This window comes from Homo sapiens, chromosome 1, assembly GCF_000001405.40.
Source record: "Homo sapiens chromosome 1, GRCh38.p14 Primary Assembly".
Classification (NCBI taxonomy): Eukaryota; Metazoa; Chordata; class Mammalia; order Primates; family Hominidae; genus Homo; species Homo sapiens.
The window spans coordinates 230,649,256-230,673,816 of NC_000001.11; the positions used below are offsets into that span (position 1 = coordinate 230,649,256).

At 38.8% G+C, this 24,561-nt stretch overlaps 1 protein-coding gene across 3 annotated transcripts in view; it reads left to right on the forward strand.

Moving 5' to 3' along the window:
- COG2 (component of oligomeric golgi complex 2) overlaps nt 1–24,561 on the forward strand; it is a 51,502-nt gene that overhangs the window by 6,775 nt on the left and 20,166 nt on the right. For 2 of the 3 annotated variants that reach the window (NM_007357.3, NM_001145036.2), the window contains exons 2-8: nt 10,209–10,370; nt 11,503–11,568; nt 13,886–13,966; nt 15,229–15,332; nt 19,421–19,529; nt 20,101–20,280; nt 22,261–22,385. In NM_007357.3, coding sequence (NP_031383.1) covers nt 10,209–10,370; nt 11,503–11,568; nt 13,886–13,966; nt 15,229–15,332; nt 19,421–19,529; nt 20,101–20,280; nt 22,261–22,385 — 827 coding nt within the window. Of the gene's footprint in view, nt 1–10,208; nt 10,371–11,502; nt 11,569–13,885; nt 13,967–15,226; nt 15,333–19,420; nt 19,530–20,100; nt 20,281–22,260; nt 22,386–24,561 lie in introns of those variants that run through there. The other variant, XM_047449445.1, reaches the window with a different exon arrangement.

The following is a 24,561-nucleotide window of genomic DNA, read 5'->3' on the forward strand; positions in this document are numbered from 1 at the left end:
GAGCCTTGGAAGACACGAGTTCCAGACTAACTGGGTCATGTGTCAATGGAGCCACCCTGCACTGGGGACAGCACTAGGTTTGAGGGCAGGGGCTGGAGGGAAGAGCTCCAGGGACGTTTTTGCCCATAGCTTGCTGTTGTGAGGAAGGGTTCCCTTCCCACAGTCTTTCCCATGGCTGTTGCCTTCATGACATTCAGATCTCAGCTCAGATACCACTTTGTAAGGGTCTTCTATCCCCTTTTCATCACTCGCTTTCATAGGGTTCCATTTTATTTTCTTTGTAGCACTTACCACTATTCATAATGTTTGTTTACATGTTTATTTTCTCATTTCCCCATTAGAATATATGCTCCTTGAGAACAGGAATGTTGTCTTTGCTTTTCATTGCTGTGCCCCCTGTAATTACAGCAGTGATTATTTATTTATTTATTGGGTATCTCATTGTGGTTTTTCTTTTGTTACTTATTTATTTTATTTTATTTTAGATTCAGGAGGTACATGTACAGGTTTATTATGTGGTTATAGTGTGTAATGGTGAGGTTTGTGCTTCTAGTGTGTTCATCACCCAGACAGTGAATGTTGTACCCAATAGATAATTTTTCAGCCCTCATCTTCCTCCAGCACTTCCCCTTTCAAGTCCCCAGTGTCTATTAATTCCATCTTTATGTCCACATATACCCATCATTTATGTCCCACTTAGAAGGGAGATGATGTGGTATTTGACTTTCTGTTTCGGAGTTAGTTCATTTAGGATAATGACCTCCAGCTCCATCCATGTTGCTGCAAAAGACATGATTTCATCTTTTTAAGGCTGCATAGTATTCTGTGGTATAAATGCACCACATTTTCTTTATCCAATCCTCCGTTGATAGACACGTTGATTCCATGACTTTGCTATTGTGAATAGGGCTTCAATAAACATAGGAGTGCAGGTGTCTTTTTTTATATAATGATTTCCTTTGGGTGGATGTTCCCTATTAGGATTACTAGGTCAAATGGTAGTTCTATTTTTAGTTCTTTGAGAAGTCGCCATACTGTTTTCCATAGAACCTGTACTAATTTACATTCTCACCAACAGTGTATAAGCATTCCTTTTTCTCACATCCAGTGTTGTTTTTTGACTTTTTAATAAAAGCTGTTCTGATTGGTGTTAGATGGTATCTCATTGTAATTTTAATTTGCATTTCTCTGATGATTAGTTATGTTGGACATTTTTTCATATGTTTGTTGGATGCTTGTATGTCTTCTTTTGAGAAATGTCTGTTCATGTCTTTTGCCCACTTTTTAATGGGGTTACTTGTTTTTTTCTTGTTGATTTAAGTTCCTTGTAGACTCCGGATATTAGTCTTTTGTTGCATGTATGATTTCCAAATGTTTTCTCCCATTCTGTAGATTGCCTGTTTACACTGCTATTTCTTTTGCTCTGCAGAGCTTTTTGGTTTAACGAAGTCTCATTTGTCTATTTTTGTTTTTGTTGCATCTGCTTTGAGGTCTTAGTCATAAATCCTTTGCCTAGGCCAATGTCCAGAAGAATTTTTCCTAGGTTTTCTTCTAGGATTTTTATAGTTTCAGGTCTTACACATTTAAGTTTTTAATCCATCTTGACTTAATTTTTATATATGGTGAGAAATAGGGGTCCAGTTTCATTTTTCTGCACGTAGTGAATATTTAATGTTTATCGAATATGCAGGGGCATTTATTCTTATCTGTTGGCCCTTTGTCTTAAAGAATGGTTTGAAACACACAGACATACAGGAGCTTATACTAATCTTTTATGACTTTCCACCTATAGTTTATTTAGTCCACAGTTTAGCACATAATATTTTGTATTGGTGTTTATCTCAATGAGACTGAACATGTTTTGAGTGCAGAGATCATGTCTTCAGCTTGGTGTTGCCTCTTGGTAGTACCTCCCATCATTATGAATACAGAATGATGATGTCTGGGGGATTTGGGTTCTGTCCCTGCTGCAGTAGCCGATGATTTGATAGTTTTCTATATTTGGGGAACATTTTACTTTTTGACGTTCAGCATGGGGCAGCTTGGAGAATTTTGCTCTTCTGTTAAAAGTTCTGTGAAATTTTCTCAGTGTTAAGGATATTGATATTTGGGTCTCAGGCGAGCTTTAAATGATTACTTCCCCAGTTCTCTTGTGTTAGTCATTGTTTGCCATCCTTGGGTGCAACTAGTTATTAAAGCAGCTAAACTCTTAAACTTTATTTGGTTTTAAAATTGATTGTCACTGCTATTCTAGTTAATGGTTCTTAAGTTTTCCACAGCTGGTTTGTTTTGCTGTCTTATTATCCTGTATTTGATTTGTTAGTCAACTTCCAGCTGTTTGGGGCATTTGTACTTTACCTGGGTTTAAGTCAGAAATATCTCTGAGTATAAAGAGAAATGATTTTTCTTTTAATTTCTGGGCTTTCAGGCCATAATTCTTGACTTCTTCCAGCTTTTCAGACACAGGCATATATATTTTAACAAGAAAAAAGTCTACTTTTAAAAATATTGCTTTTTAACTAAAACAGCTTATTTTCAAAAAGTGGGTGCTATTCCATTCAGGAAAAAAAAGTTTATCTACCTTAGTATTTTTTAATTAATAGACTTCTTTGGAGCAGTTTTAGTTTTATAGAAGAATTGAGCAGAAAGCACAGAGGTCCCATCTATCCCCTCCTGCCTCCCCCTTCACAGTTTCTCCTAGTAACATCTTGAATTAGTATGGTACCTTTGTTACAATTGATGAACCAATATTGAGGCATTATTTTTAACTGAAGTGCCATAGTTTTTATTAGAGTTCATTCTTTGTGTTCTACATTCAATGGGTTTTAATAAGTACATAGTGTCATGTATCCACTATTACAGTATCATACAGAACAGTTTCACTGCTTTACAAATCCCTTGTGCTCTGCCTGTCCATTCTTCCCCTCCTCTCCCGGCACCTTCAGCACCACCACCCTCCCATCCCTAACCCCAGGCAACTACGGATCTCTTTAGTCTCCATAGTTTTGCCATTTCCTGAATATCATGTATGCAGTAGGAATCATACAGTATATATAGCCTTTTCAGATTGACTTCTTTCACTTAGAAATGTACGTTTAAGATTCCTCCATGTCTTTGTGGCTTGATATAGCTCATCTCTTTTTATTGCTGAGTAATGTTCCATGTATGGATATACCACAGTTTGTTCATCTATTTACCTATTGAAAGAAATCATATTTGCTTCCAAGTTTTGGCAGTTAGAATAAGGCTGCTATAAACATTCACGTGCAGGTTTTTGTATGGACATACATTTTCAACCCATTTGGCTAAATACGGAGCACAATTGGCAAGACTCTGTTTAGTTTTGTAAGAAACTGCCAAGCTGTCTTCCAAAGTGACTTCCATTTTGCATTCTTACCAGGAATGAATGAGAGTTCCTACTGCTCCATAACTTCAGAAGCATTTGGTATTGTCAGTGTTTTGGATTTTAGTCATTCTCTTCATTGGTGTCTTGTTTTAATTTGCAGTTCCCTAATAATAACTCATGTTGAGCATTTTTTCAGATCTTTCGCTCATTTTAAAATTAGGTTTGATTTCATACTGCTTGCCCACCCCAGCTTTATTTAGGTATGATTGTCAAATAAAAATTGTATGACAAATAAAAATTATATACAGTGTGATTATTTGGTAATGTGTATACATTGTGAAATAATTACCATAATCAAGGTAATGTATTCATCACCTCACATAGTTAACCCCCTCTTTTTATAGTGAGAACGCTTAAGATCTACTCTCTTAGCACATTTCAAGAATACAGTATATTATTAACTATAGTCATCATGCTATACATTAGAACTCCAGAATTTATTTGTCTTATAACTGAAAGTTTATATCATTTGACATTACTCCCAACGCCAATCCCCATTCTCCAGCACCTAGTCCTCTACTTTTTGTTTCAATGAATTTGACTTTATTTTTCATTTTTTGTTTTTTTTTTTTTTGGGGAGACAGAGTCTTGCTCTGTTGCCCAGGGAGGAGTGCAGTGGCACCATCTTGGCTCACTGCAACCTCTGCCTCCAGGCCTCAAGCAATTCTCATGGCTCAGCCTCCCGAGTAACTGGGAGTACAGGCACATGCCACCACGCCGGGCTAATTTTTGTATTTTTAGTAGAGATGGGGTTTCGCCGTGTTGGCCAGGCTGGTCTTGAACTCCCAACCTCAAGTGAACCCCCCACCTCAGCCTCTCAAAGCGCTGGCATTACAGACGTGAGCCACTGTGCCCAGCCAGAGTTTGATTCTACTAAAGAATCAAATTCTACTAGCCAGAATTGATTCTACTAAAGAATCAATTCTACTAGCCAGAGTGTTTAGATTCTACTAAAACACTCCATATTAGTGGGTATCTAATGTTGTGCTGCTAAAACAGAATACTTGGGACTGGATAATTTATAAACTGTAGAAGTTTATGTGGCTCACAGTTTTGGAGGTTGGGAAGTTCAAGATCAAGAGGCCGCATCTGGTGGAGGCTTTCTTGCTGTGTCAAAATGGGGTGTAGGGCATCATGTGGCAGAAGTTGGATGGCAGGAGCATACAAGAGCAAGAGAGGGATGAACTCACTTTTATAACCCTCTCTCAAAAATGAATCCACTAGCATGGTAAAAGCATGAATACATTCATGAGGACAAAGCCCTCATGACCACTTCTTAAAGGTATCCTCTCAACTCTTGTATTGGAGATTAAATTTTCTTGTATGTTTAAGTTCTTTGTAGACTCTGGATATTAGCCCTTTGTCAGGTGGACAGATTGCAAAAATTTTCTCCCATTCTGTAGGTTGCCTGTTCACTCTGATGATAGTTTCTTTTGCTGTGCAGAAGCTCTTTAGTTTAATTAGATTCCGTTTGTCAATTTTGGCTTTTGTTGCCATTGCTTTTGGTGTTTTAGACATGAAGTCTGCCCTGCCTATGTCCTGAATGGTATTGTCTAGGTTTTCTTATAGGATTTTTATGGTTTTAGGTCTTACGTTTAAGTCTTTAATCCATCTTGAGTTGATTTTTGTACAAGGTGTAAGGAAGGGGTCCAGTTTCAGTTTTCTGCATATGGCTAGCCAGCTTTCCCAACATCATTTATTAAATAGGGAATCTTTTCCCCATTGTTTGTGTCAGGTTTGTCAAAGATCAGATGGTTGTAGATGTGTGGTGTTATTTCTGAGTCCTCTGTTCTGTTCCAATGGTCTATATATATCTGTTTTCATACCAGTACCATACTGTTTTGGTTACTGTAGCCTTGTAGTATAGTTTGAAGTCAGGTAGTGTGATGCCTCCAGCTTTGTTCCTTTTGCTTAGGATTGTCTTGGCTATGCGAGCTCTTCTTTGAGAAGACTTTTTCCAATTCTGTGAAAAAAGTCAATGGTAGCTTGATGGCGATAGCATTGAATCTGTAAATTACTTTGGGCAGTATGGCAATTTTCATGATATTGATTCTTCGTATCCATGAGCATGGAATGTTTTTCCATTTGTTTGTGTCCTCTCTTATTTCCTTGAGCAGCGGTTTGTAGTTCTCCTTGAAGAGGTCCTTCACATCCCTTGTAAGTTGTATTCCTAGTTATTTTATTATCTTAGTAGCAATTGTGAATGGGAGTTCACTCATGATTTGGCTCTCTGTTTGTCTGTTATTGGTGTATAGGAATGCTTGTGATTTTTGCACATTGATTTTGTATCCTGAGACTTTGCTGAAGTTGCTTATCAGCTTAAGGAGATTTTGGGCTGAGATGATAGGGTTTTCTAAATATACAATCATGTCATCTGCAAACAGAGACAATTTGACTTCCTCTCTTCCTATTTGAATACCCTTTATTTCTTTCTCTTGCCTGATTGCCTTGGCCAGAACATCCAATATTATGTTGAATAGAAGTGGTGAGAAGAGGGCATCCCTGTCTTATGCCAGTTTTCAAAGGGAATGCTTCCAGTTTTTGGCCATTCAGTATGATATTGGCTGTGGGTTTGTCATAAATAGCTCTCATTATTTTGAGATACGTTCCATCAGTACCTAGTTTATTGAGAGTTTTTAGCATGAAGGGGTGTTGAATTTTGACAAAGGCCTTTTCTGCATCTATTGAGTTAATCTTGTGGTTTTTATCATTAGTTCTGTTTATGTGATGGATTACGTTTATTGATTTGCGTGTGTTGAACCAGCCTTGCGTTGCAGGGATGAAGCCAACTTGATTGTGGTGGATAAGCTTTTTCATGTGCTGCTGGATTTGGTTTGCCAGTATTTTATTGAGGATTTTTGCATTGATGTTCATCAGAAATATTGGCCTGAAATTTTCTTTTTTTGTTGTGTCTTTGCCAGGTTTTGATATCAGGATGATGCTGGCCTCATAAAATGAATTAGGGAAGATTCCTTCTTTTTCTATTGTTTGGAATAGTTTCAGAAGGAATGGTACCAGCTCCTCTTTGTACCTCTGGTAGAATTCAGCTGTGAATCCGTCTGGTCCTGGACTTTTTTTGGTTGGTAGGCTATTAATTGCTGCCTCAATTTCAGAACTTGTTATTGGTCTATTCAGGGATTCAACTTCTTCCAGGTTTGGCCTTGGGAGGGTGTATGTGTCCAGGAATTTATCCATTTCTTCTAGATTTTCTAGTTTATTCGCCTAGAGGTGTTTATAGTGTTCTCTGATGGTAGTCTGTATTTCTGTGGAATGGGGGGTGATATCCCTTTATCATTTTTTATTGCATCTATTTGATTCTTCTTGCTTTTCTTCTTTATTAGTCTGGCTAGAGGTCTATCTATTTTGTTGATCTTTTCAAAAAACCAGCTCCTGGTTTCATTGGTTCATTGATTTTTTTGAAGGGTTTTTCGTGTCTCTATCTCCTTCAGTTCTGCTCTGATCTTAGTTATTTCTCGTCTTCTGCTAGCTTTTGAATTTGTCTGCTGTTGCTTCTCCAGTTCTTTTAATTTTGATGTTAGGGTGTCAGTTTTAGATCTTTCCTCCTTTCACTTGTGGGCATTTAGTGCTATAAAGTTCCCTCTACACACTCCTTTACATGTGTCCCGGAGATTCTGGTACGTTGTGTCTTCGTTCTCATTGGTTTCAAAGAACATCTTTATTTCTGCCTTCATTTCATTATTTACCCAGTAGTCATTCAGGAGCAGGTTGTTCGGTTTCTTAATCCTGAGTTCTAATTTGATTGCACTGTGGTTTGCGAGTCTGTTTATTATGATTTTCATTCTTTTGCATTTGCTGAGGAATGTTTTACTTCCAATTATGTGGCCAATTTTAGAATAAGTGCGATGCAGTGCTGAGAAGAATGTATATTCTGTTGATTTGGGGTGGAGAGTTCTGTAGATGTCTATTAGGTCCTCTTGGTCCAGAACTGAGTTCAAGTCCTGAATATCCTTGTTAATTTTCTGTCTTGTTGATCTGTCTAATATTGACAGTGGGGTGTTCAAATCTCCCACTATTATTGTGTGGGAGTCTAAGTCTCTTTGTAGGTCTCTAAGAACTTGCTTTATGGATCTGGGTGCTCCTGTATTGGGTGCATATATATTTAGGATAATTAGCTCTTGTTGCATTGATCCCTTTACCATTATGTAATGCCCTTCTTTGTTTTGATCTTTGTTGGTTTAAAGTCTGTGTTATCAGAGATTAGGATTGCAACTCCTGCTTCTTTTTGCTTTCCATTTGCTTGGTAAATATTCCTCCATCCCTTTATTTTGAGCCTATGTGTGTCTTTGCACGTGAGATGGGTCTCCTAAATACAGCACACTGATGGGTCTTGACTCTATCCAATTTGCCAGTCTGGGTCTTTTAACTGGGGCATTTAGTCTGTTTACACTTAAGGTTAATATTGTTATGTGGAATTTGACCCTATCCTTATGATGCTAGGTGGTCATTTTGCCTGTTAGTTGATGCAGTTTCTTCATAGTGTCAATGGTCTTTACAATTTGCAATGTTTTTGAAGTGGCTGACTAGTTTTTCCTTTCTACGTTTAGTGCTTCCTTCAGGAGCTCTTGTAAGGCAGACTTGGTGGTGACAAAATCTCTCAGCATTTGCCTGTCTGTAAAGGACTTTATTTCTCCTTTGCTTATGAAGCTTAGTTTGGCTGGATATGAAATTCTGGGTTGAAAATTGTTTTCTTAAAGAATATTTAATATTGGCCCCCAGTCTCTTCTGGCTTGTAGGGTTTCTGCTGAGAGATCCACTGTTATTCTGATGGGCTTCCCTTTGTGGGTAACCTGACCTTTCTCTCTGTCTGCCTTTAACATTTTTTCCTTCATTTTAGCCTTGGTGAATCTGATGATTATGTGTCTTGGGGTTGCTCTTCTCGAGGAGCATCTTTGTGGTGTTTTCTATGTTTCCTGAATTTGAATGTTGACCTGTCTTGCTAGGTTGGGGAAGTTCTCCCGGATAACATTCTGAATAGTGTTTTCGAACTTGGTTCCATTTTCCCCGTCACTTTCGGGTACACCAGTCGAACGCAGATTTGGTCTTTTCATCTAGTCCCATATTTCTTGAAGCTTTGTTCTTTCCTTTTTATTCTTTTTTCTCTAATCTTGTCTTCTCACTTCATTTCATTAAGTTGGTCTTCAGTCTCTGATATCCTTTCTTCCGCTTGATTGATTCGGCTATTGATACTTGTGTGTGCTCCACGAAGTTCTCATGCTGTGTTTTTCAGCTCCGTCAGGTCATTTATATTCTTCTCCAAACTGGTTATTCTAGTTAGCAATTCATCTAACCTTTTTTCAAGGTTCTTAGCTTCCTTACATTGGGTTAGAACATGCTCGTTTAGCTTGGAGGAGTTTGTTATTACCCACCTTCCAAAGCCTGCTTCTGTCAATTTGTCAAACTCATTCTCCGTCCAGTTTTGTTCCCTTGCTGGTGAGGAGTTGTGATCCTTTGGAGGTGAAGAGGCCTTCTGGTTTTTGGAATTTTCAGCATTTTTGTGCTGGTTTCTCCCCATCTTTGTGGATTAATCTACCTTTGGTCTTTGATGTTGGTGACCTTTGGATGGAGTCTTTGAGTGGACATGCTATTCCTTTCTGTTTGTTAGTTTTCTTTCTGACAGTCAGGCCCCTCTGCTGCAGGTCTGCTGGAATTTGTTGGAGGTCCACTCCAGACCCTGTTTGCCTGGATTTCATCAGTGGAGGCTGCAGAACAGCAAAGATTGCTGCCTGTTCTTTCCTCTGGAAGCTTCGTCCCAGAGGGGCACCTGCCAGATGCCAGCCAGAGCTCTCCTGTGTGAAGTGTCTCTCAGCCCATACTGGGAGGTGTCTCCCAGTCAGGATACACGGGGGTCAGGGACCCACTTGAGGAGGCAGTCTGACCCTTACCAGAGCTCATACACTGTGCTAGGAGGTCCGCTGCTCTCTCTAGAGCCATCAAGCAGTGACGTTTAAGTCTGCTGAAGCTGCACCCGCAGCCATCCCTTCCCCCAGGTGCTCTGTCCCACGGGGATGGGGGTTTTATCTATAAGACCCTGACTGGGGCTGCTGCCTTTTTTTTCAGAGATGCCCTGCCCAGAGAGGAGAAATCTGGTAGTCTGGCCACAGCGGCCTTGCTGAGCTGCAGTGCACTCCGCAAGCTCCTGAACATCTTGTTCAATAGAATACTCAACATCCATATAAAACATGAGTGCAAATTTACATGGATTATGAAAAGACATCCAAGTTGTATTGTTATATGGGGAAAAGCAGTTTACATAACAGCATGAATATTAAGATTCTGTGTGTGCATGTGACACATAGAAAAACATCTGGAAGGATGTGAATCACAATGTTAGGTAGAGAAAAAAATTAATAGATTAATAGTGCTTATCTCTACAGCATGAGAATTTCAGTGATTTTTTTTTTACTCTGATGGATATTTTTAATATAATTCTTTGTTGTTTGAAAGTTTTACATTGAACATTTGTTACTTTAAAATTAAGGGGAAACGTTTCTGTTTTGAGAAGAACCTGATTGAATTGTGTTGTTTTGAAAAAGAAGTTCACTTTTAGAATTTTAGGCAACAGAAGAGGATGTTCTCAGTCAGGGGCCACCCTTCTTGGCACCTTTATAAAGCGGACAAACACCTTCATACTGTCATGTATAAGCCAAGATACTTTCTTCCTGCAGCAGCATGGCCTTGTAAATGACGGGAATGGGCTTTCTTACTCTTTCTTCCATTTCATTTGTATATGTCACTGTGATATCATTGCTATAATTTTTTCTTCTCTGGTTTTATTTTTCAGGAAGATTTCGATGTCGATCATTTTGTGTCTGACTGTAGGAAGCGGGTCCAGCTGGAAGAACTGAGAGATGACCTGGAGCTCTACTATAAACTTCTTAAAACAGCCATGGTCGAACTCATCAACAAGGATTATGCAGATTTTGTCAATCTTTCAACAAACTTGGTAAACTTTAAATCCACGGTCCCATTTACATACATACAATTTCTTTCTCACTCATACTTATTCTTAGAAGTGTTGTGTGTTTTTAGAAACCTTTTAGTTGATGTCCTCACAGAAATTTGAAGAGATCCCTAATGTCATCAATAAAATAACCAAACTTTCTTGATATACAATTTTGCTTTTTTACTTAAGACTATTCTAAATTAAATATTTTTTTAATTTGATATTATTAGTGAAAAACAAAGGCTAGCAGTAGCAGACTGGTTGTTTTCATTAGCAGCTGATTACCATGAAATCTCTCTGGTTTAGACCAATTTGCAAGAGCAAATATCAACTGTTCTTAAGGAAGTGTTTAATTTACTTTCAGATACATACGCTAGCCACAGCTAGATTGAGAGAACATTGGCCAGTATTGATCTTTAGGAGGCTTGGTTTTATAAAATGTGAGAATAGTTTGTCACGAGCATATCAGCTGTTCATAAAAGTAGGTTAGAAGTGCTTATATTTTAATACTCCCAAAGTTTGCCTTTTGGTCATCCTGTTCCTATTTTATTTTACTTTTAAAACTCTCTCCAAAGAAGTACAGAAAGTAGCCATCTCCATGGAAATTTTAAGAAGCATTAAAATTAATGAGCCATATTTGCATTTGGGAAATGTACATCTAAGATAAATGTTGTAGTAGGATTAGAAACCTAGAAAATTATATTTCCATTCTATTTCATTTTGATTTTTCTCAAGGGTTATAATGGTTAGGATAGATATACTCCTTGAGACTTTCACATCAACTGGTTGAATATTGTAAATTACAGACAGATAGCTCTTTATCTCCAGTTAAAATTTCTCAAATTCATTAAAATATTTTATTCAGAGGCAAATTGTGCCTAAGGAGGCTTTTATTTATTATGACTTCTCTTATTTTTATAGTTTTCATGTACATCAAAGGTTTTTTCACATTCTATCAGCAATATTTATTATAAAATAACATTTGTTATTTAGTTACTTAACAATATATGGTTGTTCATTTTGTTGTACAGAAAGAATAACCTAAGTCTAGCACTACATTGATCATTAAATGGATACTTAGCTGTTACTCTTGATTGTGAGGTGTGTGTGCCAACATGATTTCTGCCTTTAGGTTGGCATGGACAAAGCCCTCAACCAGCTTTCTGTGCCTTTGGGACAATTACGAGAAGAGGTTCTGGTAAGTTTCCCGAATAACATCAAACAGTTTACCCTAAAGCATGATATGCTTGTTTGCCCTTCCAAAAAAAAATTCCTTTAATCTGTTAGGTTGTTGATTTTTGTTTTTTGAATGTTTAGTAATTATAATACTCATCCTCAGAAAAGTTGTAAATCCTTCTCTATTTTTTGCGTGTGATACTATAACCAAAAAAATGTTATGTTTGATTTGAATATGACAGATTCTTAGAGTAGACAGCTTTAAAATGTTGGGGGAGGAGAAGAAGGCTATTTGAAAACTCAACTTGTTACTGTCAGCTCACTCATATGTAGGTAGTCACTAATTTAAGAATAGCTTCTATTTTAAAAATTTGTAGTTTTACAAATATTTTCCCAAATAATATTTTATATATTGTTAGGTTTCTAGACTAGTCCACAGAAGCTCTGTAAACCCTAATGTAACCAAAGGATAATATACAATTAATGTAATAACTAATTGTATTTATTTTAATGTTTCTGTAAGATAATGTCTGCTGTGAGTTGGGACTCCCCATGTCTAAGCCATTGGAGACAGGGACTCCATCCGGATGAACAGTAGAGAAGGGAGTTTTGGCATCATTTTCAACAGAAAAGTGTGCTACCCTGTCCTGTCCCTGCTGGTCCACCCCACAGTCTGTGTCAGGCACCCCGACTTCCATGCTGTCTTAGGATTGATGAACTGTCATAAACTTCGTTGATTGCACCATTATTACCTGTGTATGTCACCATTAGATCATGCGCAGCTTGAGTAGCCTTATGCACTTAGCCCCTAAGACAGTCCCTGGCACATAGTATGCTCACAGTAGGTGACATAAGTAAACATTCAGTGCATGTGTAGTGCTGAAAAAAAAAATGCAAAATAATAGAAATGTCAGTGTTTAGAAGTCCATAAGAATGGCAGGCAAGAAATAATTCTTAAAAGAGAGGTCTCAAGTTGTGCCTTGAACTAGCAAATATTTTCAAATGTTTATGTCTTGTTTGATTTTTTAAAAAAGCTTTTAAAGTACTTCTTCTTGGCATGGAAGGAAAATAGTTTTTGTGATCCACTGTTGGATTCCACACTCTGGGTGGCTTTTACATGGCTCTTGGGTGGCTCTCCTGCCTTCTTTTCAGTGTACCTCTTCCTACCCCCACCCTTGGAGATAGGGTGTTTTCCGAGCCTCAGCCCTCAGTCCTCAGCCCTCTCCTCTCCCTCCTCTCCTCTCCTCTTCTCTCCTCTCCAAATTCTCTCCCATGGAGGTGGATTCACTCTCCCGAATTCTGCTCTGTCATTGTTAACTGCTGTCTCACCTGCAGGCTCTAGTCTTTTCCTTGCCACCTGCCAGCACCATATGCTCTCCCTCCTTCCACAGCTGTCTCTATAGCCACCTTTTTCCTGATTGGTTTAGCCGTAGACCTGTTCTTCCTTTTTGGCTTCCAACTCATGAAGCTACTCTGTGAGATTCTGCAGTCGTTGAGAAATGAGACTATTTCTATCTTGTTCACCATTGCATCCTCATTGGCTTGCACAATAGCTGGCATTTAATAGGTATTTTGTAACATTTGTGGGATGAATGAATTCATTTTTCTATAGAATTTTTGTGATTTCTCCAGTTTATTCTAGTTTTTCCATTACTTTCATTTTGGCCCTAATTTCTGATTAATTCATTAGCTTCTGGACATGTTTCTCCACTTATGACCTCTCCTTTTCCTTGCATCCTGTTCTTGACTTCTTGATTCTGAATTTTCCCAAAACAACTTTTTCATGATATATTAGTACTTAAAATGTGTAGAATCTGGTCTAAAGTCTTATCTGGTCATAGCCCTCTTGAATTAACCCTTCCTGTTTTATTTCTACTTTTGTCCAAATTGATGCCTGCAGTACCCCCGGATGTATTCCTCACTGGTCCTGAAATATGTCATTACTGTTCTATCTTCCTGCCTTGTCTTCTGATAATCTTTTCTCTACGCTTGTCAGCATCCACAAATTTTTAGAATCTACCTCAAGTCTCATCTCCCCCACCAGACACCCTTATACTTTGACTCAGGTTATCCTTTCTTTACCCTGACCACCTGTGATGCTCATTGTATATATATTAATTTTCTTTTGGCAGCCAATCTTGCATGACCTTGGCTTTATATGTCATTTTCCCCTAAATCTTGAGACACAAACAGCAATTGTGTCTAATATTTTGTAATTTGTCAATATCTGTGTAATACTGGCCTGTAGGTGTTAAGTCCTGTGGAATTGAATTAAATGTGTAAATTTCATAATGTTACAAAACAATCTCTGCAGTACTTTTTTTTTTTGTCTTTTAAAGAGCCTTAGATCGTCTGTCAGTGAAGGAATTCGGGCAGTTGATGAACGAATGTCTAAACAAGAGGACATTAGGAAAAAAAAGGTATACTCAAATATTACAATATTAAATCGTTGATTCACTGTAGCACCTTGTAGTAACAAGCACTTTCAGGCATATGGTCTGATTTACTCTTCTTGATACCTTTGCAGAGAGGAGTGTGATGTGTCTCTTTTATATTAAAGTGTTTATATTAAATAAATAAATAAATGTATTTATTAGATGTATTTATGTATTTATTTTTCTTTTGATAACTTTAGTACCCAAGCACACTTATTAAAATCTCAAGGGAGAGAAGCCTGTTTTAGAGATCTTCTGTTTAATTCTCCTTTAGATCCCTTCTCAGCTTTTGTCCAAAGATTCAAGAATGTAGTGCACTGCTAGAAAAGATTGTCCACTTCATGAGAAGGGGATTTTTGCCTGTTTTATCCACTTATATCCCCAATGTGTAGAAGAATGTCTTGGTTCATGGTAGATGCTTTGTAACTATTTATTTAATGAATGACTTAATTTTTGTTATTTTAACAATGAGTTTTTATAATGTTCCTTGATAATATCTGCCTTGTGTAATAAATGTCTTTAATGAATTGGCACTTAACGTTTATTGGTATATCATGCACATGTAAATGAAGAGGACAAATATGATCAGAAACTAAGAACATAAAAAAAGGACCTTACGAACATAAATGTAGTACCAAAATAAAGGTTTATATAAGATAGGGGAAAGAGGCCAGGTGTGGTGGCTCACACCTGTAATCTCAGTAGTTTAAGAGGCTGAGGCAGGCAGATCGCTTGAGCTCAGGACTTTGAGAACAGCCTGGGCAACATAGCAAAACCCTGTCTTTACAAATAATACAAAAAAATTCTCCAGATGTGGTGGTGTGTGCCTATAGTCCCAGCTACTTGGGAGGCTGAGGTGGGAGGATCACTTGAGCCTGGGAAGTTGAGGCTGCAGTGAGCCAAGATCACAGCACTGCACTCCAGCCTGGGTGATAGAGTGAGACCCTGTCCTAAAAAAGATGGGGAAAAGAAAGAAGGAATAAGGATATAATATAAGAAACCAAAAAAAAAAAGTTTTTTTAAAAATTCTGAAATTGTGATAGAATATTGAAATATGTTTGTTCTAGAAAGCCAAAAGATTTGCATTCTTGGGAATTTTGTGTTATGTAGAAATACTAAAAATATAGAATGCTATAGGTAATTTTACGTTGACTTTTGACTTTGTATTTTCCTGTACTTAGGATGATGAAATAAGAAAATTAAGATTAAACATGACAATAACTTTTTTCCTTAATTTTTATTTATAGATGTGTGTATTGAGGCTTATACAAGTTATTCGGTCAGTTGAGAAAATTGAAAAAATCTTAAACTCTCAAAGTTCTAAAGAAACCTCTGCACTAGAAGCAAGCAGGTAAGTATTTTTTATTAAATAACTCGTAAATTAATACTTCACATCCAGAGTAAAAACTTTTTTAGTTAGAACTCATTTCTGATAAAGAAGAAAATCCCAGTCTATGGCTTAGTGTTTTTAAATGTAGCTCAAGCAAAGCAGAGTGCATGAAATGGTAAAGCTTATACATATTATTATATAGCCTTGATGGTCGTAGGCCACTGTTCCAACACAGCACCTTTCAGGGAGTCAGAGAACGTGTACTTTCTGTGGAAGGTTTTTATTTTTGAAATTGCCTTACCCATGGACTAGTGAAATCCCTACTGACCTTCAAGGTGTGGAATAGCAGTCATCTTATTTAGACAGGCCCAGAGTATTCCAGTTGATGTATCTTGAGGTTCAAAATGCACGAGTGTTATTAAGAAATAGTACAGGACATATTTCACTGAAATTTATAAACAGCAAAGAAAAAGCTTGCAAAATAAGCAAAAGATGACTGTTTCCTTTGTTATACTGTAGTGTCTTATTACCTTCCCACACTGAATTTAAAATCAGTCAGGTAGTTGAGTGACTCAGAAAATGAATTGAATGGATCATTATGAACATTAATGGGAAACTCCATGGTGCAGTGGAAAGAGCATGGGCTTATGTTGCATGTACCAGCTGGGTAGCCTGAGTCAGGTTACTTCACTCTGTGTCTTGGTGTTGTCATCTCTCATATAAGGCTAATAGGAACTCCACTTGCAGGATTGGTAGCCATAGACTAGACCCTCATACATGTCTAGTTTGAGCCTAACACAAGCATCTCTGAAAGTCACATTGATAGCCATCATACTTTTCCTTGACTAATATGGGATAAGCTACAGGAAAACCAACCAGGACCAAATGGAATATACCTGCAGTTCAAAGTCCTGATCGTATTATCAAGACAAGTTGGATTTCTTAATTTTAGGAATCAGAATTTTAGATTTGGAGAGACTGTAGAGACAGTATGCTGTGTTTCTCTCATTTTATAGATGAGGAGATGAGGCATCCGAAAAGGAAATTATTCTCATGTCCTAGGTCTCTACTTTCTTTCCTGATCGAGATGTATAAATAAGTGGTCAATCGCTGCCATCTTTTTTCTTCAGCCTGTAGTACTTCTGCTTCTGTCCGTTCTGTTCCCCTTCATCTGCGCTCATCAGAGTCCCCATCAGTGTCAGTTCTGAGAGCCCAGCAGAGCCCTGTTCCACTAACTGCTCTGCTTCTGTCTTCCACTCAACAGCATTGACAGCCCCTCCCAACTATGTCCTCACTTGGCATCTGTGATACCTGCCTCCTCATTTTCTTTTCCTCCTTCCCCATTCCTACTCTGTTCCTTTGATGGACTCCACTGCCCTTTTTCATGCCAGCTTTCTCCAGGGCACTGTTCTTGGGACTGTGCTCTTGATCAGCACTTTCTGGGTAACCTCATCCAACCCCATGGTTTTAATGGCCTCCTGGATGCTGATCTCTTTATCTGCAGACGAACTTCTGTAGTCCTCAGACTCATCAGTCTGCTGACTGCGGGGAGTTTAGTGGACGTTCTCCAGGCACTTCACATTCATCATGTTGAAAACTGAGCTCTCATCTTCTTTCCCTGCCTCTCTCCACCAGCAAAAACATTTTACTCCTCCCTTTTATTCCTTGTCTTAGGAAACGGTGCCTTTATTTCCTTCACTAACGAGGCTAGACATCTTGGGGGAGTCATTTTCTCCTTTTTTAAACTTCATCTCCTTCTGGCGTTCACTAGGCAAGCCCTGGAGACTCTGCTGCTCTAGTGTCTCTGAGATTGAGAGATGTCTGCCTCCCCCTCTCAGTTCTCCCATTGCCTCGTTTCAGGCAGTGGCCTCCTGACTGACCTCTCATTTTCTCTAGGACAACTAACCCTAGCTGCCAAATGGATCTTTTAGATTTGTCTAATCACATCTTACTATGTGATTGGGAAACAATGGTTTCCTAGTGTTTTTAAGGTAAATCTTAAACTCCCAAGCTGCTCCTTGCCACTTCTGTATTCTTCACTAAAGCTATTCAGAACTACTTTTGGTTCCCTGACTGCCCTGAACATTGCTGACTTACGCTTCCTTAATTTTACTATGTATGGCCATTTGTTGTACTAAAAGCCCTTCCTTTAACTTCCACCTCCCTTTCACCTGCCCGATTTCTCTTTATTCCATCCAAATCTAGCTCAAAACATGCTTAAAGTATAGAAAGTTTAAAAATACTGTGCTAAGTGGAAAAAAAGCAGGTTATAAAACGATATGGATTTGTTTTGTAAAATTTATTCTTCTCTTTTGTGTGGGATACTGTTGATCCCTTCTGCTTTCTTTAAAACTGTCTCACTCAGTTCTGTGAGAGAAAGTACAAACAAGACACTACAAGAGTTCCCTTCCATAAAGCTCAATTACAAGACCACCTCTTTTAGCAAGTCTTCCCTGACCTTTCAGATTTAGATGCTCCATCTCCATGCATTCATCGGGCCTCCGGGTCATCCCCTAGACAACTTAACGGTGAGACTGGAACTGTTGATTGGCTTGCATGCCTTCTCAGTCTATAAGGCCCCTGACATCTTTACACCACAGTGTCTGGAACTAGTAGGTACCTAAGAAAAGATAACCAAACGTCTCCCACTAGTGGGGAACGGGCTTCTGATGACCTCAGTGATGTCTGTTTCTAGACATACTCTTATATTATTGTATTATATTATATTCAGTATGTTATATTCAGTATAATAGACACTGCAGTCTTCCTTGCTCCGAATCATCTTTGAGGAGCTTTTCTGATGACCTCAGTGATGTCTGTTTCTAGAGATACTCTTATATTATTGTATTATATTATATTCAGTATGTTATATTCAGTATAATAGACACTGCACTCTTCCTTGCTCCGAATCGTCTTTGAGGAGCTTTTCTTAAATTCAGATCTGCAAATTTGAGCTGTAGTGAAGGTAAAACCAGGGCAATATTACTGAATAGTAGATATACCATGCTTGTTAAGCCAAGAAACATTTAGATAATTTATAAATAATTAATTCACACGAGATTATTCAGGAAACAGTTAGGGATATTCAAGACAGAGTTTCCCTTTTTGGTTGGTCACACTGGGCAGTTCCTGTTCCTCTAAACTAGTTTGGATGCTACAAATACAGAACTGGGTGGACCACTGATGGTCTCAGTGCAGCATTTTATATGTCCTCATGATAGGGACATTTTTCCTCCCTAACTGGTGATGAGCCATCAGTGTACACAGGATGCCTCAGTATACACAGCAAGTGATTATGCCTTTATACTTCTCCTCTGCTATTTTACTTCCTTTTGAGTGATATTGACATTTTATAATATGTTTGGGGGGAAAAAGTGCATTTATTATATTTTGTGCCAGGTACGTAAAGAATGCCCTCTCACTAGGACCCACAGCATGTAGGTTGACTGCTCTTGCTGTTTGGTAAATGTAATTTTAAAGTAAGTTATTACTATTTAAATTTAAAATAAGATATTTTGAGATATTTATTGCTGCTGGAGAGTCAGTTTCATTCATTGAGGAGACAAATATATTTGGTATTTTAGAAATATCTAGAGGTATTTTAGCAAGGAGAGTGAGGCAGGCAGAGAAGTAGAAAGGATCCAGCTATAAGAAATGAGATGGAAAGAAAAAGAAAAGATAAGGAGGGAGAAGGGGAAAGGGGAGAGGGGGAAGAGGGAAATAGAAGGGAGGTTAAAGCTGAAAAAGAAGGTCATGAATGGGAGAGCTTGGAGTCGGTGGCAGAAACACATAATTGCATGTCCACAGGCCTAGCCAGCCCTGCTGCTGTCTGGTCCCTGTGGGTCAAGGCCAGGCAGCATCAGCAGCTTGTACTCAACAGATTCCCCGGTGCACTTAGAACATGCTGTGCATATGGCGTCTGGGGAACATTGACTGATGGCACAAAAGACGCTTTAGCTTTCACCTTGTAACAAGGTGGCCACATAAAACACTCTGACAAAAGTCAAAATACAGTGGGTATGAAAGTCTCTCACTGCCAGGCGTGTGATGTATTCTCGTGGAAATAGAGACCTTAGGGGTTACACTTCTATAACTGTTTTCTCTACTAGCCCCCTTTTGACTGGACAAATTTTGGAGAGAATTGCCACAGAATTTAATCAGTTACAGTTTCATGCTGTTCAAAGCAAAGGCATGCCTCTTTTGGACAAAGTAAGACCGGTAAGTGTTGTTTTGGATTTCCACAGTTTGGTGTTTAGGGACTTGCTAAATAATTCTGGTTTAAACTAGTAATATTGTTGATCTACAGGGTTTTGAAGCTAACCTTGCATTTTTTTTCAATTTTTAATTTTTTGGGCGCCAGCTTCCTAAGTGTCACACATTATAGATTTTGTGTAAAGACTCAGTCACATTCTCCAGATGATAAGAGTAAAATTAATTCTGAATTTCATGGAATTGGACATCTTATATGATGTAGACAATTAATTTATCCAAAGCCCTTAATTGGATTTTAAATCCATGATGTTTCCTCAAGATTGACTTCGTAGCTTAAGAGGAAGGTAACTTTTTTCTCATTCTGTAATTCTGTCTAAATTCTTCTTTGATGAAGCAGAGATTTACTTATAAAGTGATTGGAGTGAGGGGTTCATTGTTATTCTCCAGGAAAAGTTATTATTTTGATTTTATATATGTCATTATCTGTTGGTGTAAGAGGCTTGTTATATATCTACTTGCAGTTTCAGAAACTGTTACAACTAGAGCTTTTTTTTTATTTACCCACCTTTTCTTGCAGCGTATAGCTGGCATTACAGCCATGTTACAGCAGTCACTGGAAGGTCTCCTATTAGAAGGCCTTCAGACGTCTGACGTCGATATAATACGGCACTGCTTGCGGACTTACGCCACGATTGACAAGACACGGGACGCGGAGGCCTTAGTTGGCCAAGTACTAGTGAAACCATACATAGACGAGGTCTGTGTACCTCCTTCAACAAACATTCATGAGCTTCTGTTCTGTCTTTGACTCTTTACTGGGTGTGAGGAAGATAAGAAGAGAGAACAGAGATCTTTCTGGAAAGATTCTCAGTTCCTACAGTACCAGCTATAAGGAAGGATTGGTCTCCATGGGTTATAGTTGGGAAGTAATGTTACGATGCCAGGAATTGGGCGTGCCGTCTCAGGTGTCCTAGGAATGCTGCGGCTCAGGCTTCAAGGGCGAGATTCAAGGGCATCCACGTGCTTTTAGGTCAATTTTATGGGAGGCGATGGTTCCTCAGTAATTGTTAAAAGAATGTTTTCAAATCACTGGTCTTGTGGGTGGACTAAGGCAATTAAGCAGTGACAACACTGCAGTGTACGAGGAAGGTGCAGGGAGTGCTGTGAGTGTGGAAAGGTGTGTGAGTGGGGTAGACAGTGGTACCCTCAAGTCTTCAGGGAATAAATGACATTTGGCCCAAGTCTTGAAAAATACAGAGGAGTTTGCTGGACGAGGAAGGTGAGAGGAGGAATATTCAAAGATCAAGGGCTTTTATAGCAAATTAGCCAAGTAATACCTTAAATCTAGAACTTGGCTATGCAGTATCCTTCACCTAGTAGGATATAGTTAAAATGTAGGAAACAAGTATATCCCACTTCTGAGCAGCCAGAGTATAGATTGTGCCATATAAAGTTGCTGATATTCAACAGTTTCTGACATACAAAAACAGCAGCTTTGTCTGCTTCAAACTGAGAGAAGTCACTGAGCCCGTCCTCGGTGTTTGGGGACTTTCCTCCAGTGTCCTGTCAGTATGAATGTTCTGACTGTTAGTAAATACAAAGATTATACTCACATGATTTCAGGGTGAAAGTCTTTTATTTTTTAAAGTGGAAAGTTGAGACTCCCAATGATAAAAATGAAATGTAGGGACTCATTTTAATAATTATTTTGGCCTTGTTAAGATTACTAAAAATAAATGATATTTCAGTTCTCTCTGTTTATATCATGTTATATTCCATAGCTGTCTCTATGGGGGTGAAAAAATTACATACATTATTTCTTTGTCAATAAGTGAAAAAATTTTTTTGTGCTTTGGGGGACAGGGTCTCACTCTGTCACGCAGGCTGGGGTGCAGAGGCATGATCATGGCTCACTGTAGCCTCAACCTCCTGGGCTCAAGCAGTCCTCCTACCTCAGCCTCCCAATTAGCTGGAACTACAGGTACACACCACCATGCCTGGCTAATGTTTTTTTTGTAGAGATGAGGTTTTGCCATGTTGTCCAAACTAATCTTGAACTCCTGAGCGCAAGTGATCTGCCTGCCTTGGTCTCCCAAAGTGCTGGGATTACAGGCGTGATCCACTGCGCCCAACCGATGAAAATATTTTAGTCACTAATCTATTCCTTTTTCACGGAACTGAATCTAGTGTGCTAAATTAAAGAACTATTTGAACTTTCAGTGGCATATTAAATTCAGTAGCCACATTGTGTTTTATTTAAACTCAGCTTATCTTGTCATATCATTCTTGTCTCCCAATTTTATCACAAAAAATAAAATAATGAACTAATATATTTTCTTCTGTCTTTCTCTGCCTCAAACCCTTCCCTAATCTGAATGATGGTAGAAAAAAAGGCCAGGATGAAGACAGTGAGGAGTTGTGGTGGCGAATCATGTGCTCTGCTTTAAATCTTTTTTTAAAAGTTGTTATTTTATTTTCAGACTCCCAGGGAAGCAGATGAGAGTGCATGGTTTGTCAGCCCATGTCTCCCCCACAGTTGTATCTGTACAGCCTAATCCAAGGAAGTAGTTTTGAATGTGACCTGTTATTTACTTCACTGTTTAGAAAATGTGTCACAGGGAGGAGGGTGAGTGTGAGGAAGCAGATTTGTAAAGTTTTCTTTATTGTTTTCTCTGAAATAGATCGTTTGTACTTCCCTTTTAAATGCTTTTTTAAAAAATGATTTTTCTTTTAATAGGTGATTATAGAGCAGTTTGTTGAATCTCATCCCAATGGCCTTCAGGTCATGTATAATAAACTCCTGGAGTTTGTTCCTCACCATTGCCGCCTTCTTCGAGAAGTCACAGGAGGTGCCATCTCCAGGTAATTTAAACAACCCTGTGTGGACCCCCACCTCCCTTTCAGTGACCGCACCTGCTAATTGCAGGTGCACGATGGACGATGACTGTCTTGTATGAACTGTCTTGTATGAATCCATTATGAATCTTGTTATTTCATTGTTTCTACTGGTGATACTGTGAGGCAGATTCCATTAGCCTCATTTCAAAGTTGTGGAAACTGAGATGAAGCTGAGACTGAAGACCACATTTCCGAATCCAAAGCCTAGCCTTTCTTCTTCTCTGCACTTTTTCCTAAATTTAGTTTGAAGTCAGAATTGCTTTCCTTCCATGATTCTAATATGTCATAATCTGTCTATAAATATTAATTCAGTTTATTTCAACAGGTTTTATACTAATTGTGAACTCATCTTCAATTTTTCCTCCTTTTGTTCAGTTTCCATGACTTCCTGATTCTCTTTCATAAATATCCCATTACTTTTCACCATTGCCATTGTCCCAGTCCAGGCCTTGTCATCTGCTGTCCACAATAATAGAATCTTCCCACCCTGTCTCCCTGCTTCCAGTCTCTCCCTCTCTAGTCTAGGCTTCTGACTGTCACATTTACCCAGAAATCTGAGATTCATAGATTTCTTCATGAATCTTTAGTGGCTTCTCAGTGCGCATGGAGGAAGATCCAGGCTTCTCGAAGCAGGGCATGAGGCCCTTTTTGTTCTTGCCTGGTAGCTCTCCACTGTAGAAACTTTCCCTCCATAGCCCTGGATGCTCCAGCCACACAGTGCTAGCTGCCTTTCCCCAGCTCCCTTGTACTCACGTGCTTCTGCGTTTTTCCTCTGCCTGCCCTCCCCTTCCTGTGCCCTTTGTTTTCCTGTCAAACTGCCTCTCCACATGAAGCTCCAGCTCAGATACCACCTCCTTCAAGAGACCATCCTTGACCGGGCGTAGTGGCTCACACCTGTGATCCCAGCACTTTGGGAGGCCAAGGCAGGTGAATCGCTTGAGGCCAGGAGTTCAAGACCAGCCTGGGCAACATGACAAAACCCCATCTTAAAAAAAAAAAAAGGCCATTTTTTCTCCTAATGTTCAGCATTCATCATGTCCTCTGGATTGCAGGATGTGTTGCTCTTGGGTCTGCTGAGTACTGATTTCCATGTTGCATTATGATCACCTCTCCGCTGCTCACACCTTCCCCTGCCTCTTGACACAGTGTCTTAGAGCTAGCAGCTGCCCAGTTAGTGCTTGCAAAATGAAAGAATTAACTATGTTTAATGATCGAAAGGCAAATAAGGTCTCTGTTTTCATGGAGCAAGCAATGTATTTGGCCTTGAGTTTTTGTTCTTTGCAGAAATATGGGGTAATTAATATGCTGCTTGGCCTTTGCAGTACCCTCTCTGTTTCCTCTGTACCACCTAAGATGAAGTCTAGTTTTGCTACTTTTGTTTAGTAATCATAAGGATTTAGTTGGATTTGGGGATAAGAACATAGTAGAAATCATGATGTAAAATGAAGCCATAGATATGAAACAATCAGCCATTAGATTTGACAGGGCCAGTCTGGGTCCAGAGATGTCAAGCTTCAAAGCTTTAGTGGATCTTTTCCACAGTTTTTAGTGTGGGGGAATTCATGTAGAAGGCTTAGAGATTTGAGGAATCTGAACTGTACCTTGCGAGATCATCATCTGCCGCTAGCCTGTCACTGTGTTGCAGGTTCTGCATATCCCTTTCCTTCCCTTGCTCGGCTCCTGGCTTCAGATTTCCAGCTTGGTGCTCCCCTTGTCACTCCTTTCTTTTATCATGTGCCACCCTTCATGAGCTTTATAACTGGCAACACCAACAACATTCGTGATTTCTCCTCCAGAGAATACAGATGAGCTTTTCTAATCCATCAACTGTTAATCTTGCAGGTTTTACATTCTCTCTTTGGGGATTTGATTAGACATTAACTTTGGGAATGAGGAAATGTTGTCATTTAATAGTGATTACATTATGTATATCTGTAGTTTGGAGTCCTCAATTTTGTGCTTTCTTTCTCTAGATACCTTAACAGAGCCTGCTCTTCCTATTATTTGGAAGTGTATAATATGATGTGTGGAATTGGATATATGGGAGGCAGTCATCTTCTTTCCCCTTCCTGGCCCTCCTCCACCCCCACCAGTAATTTCCTAACAATACTTAGGTGAAACTATAATAACATTATTTGCT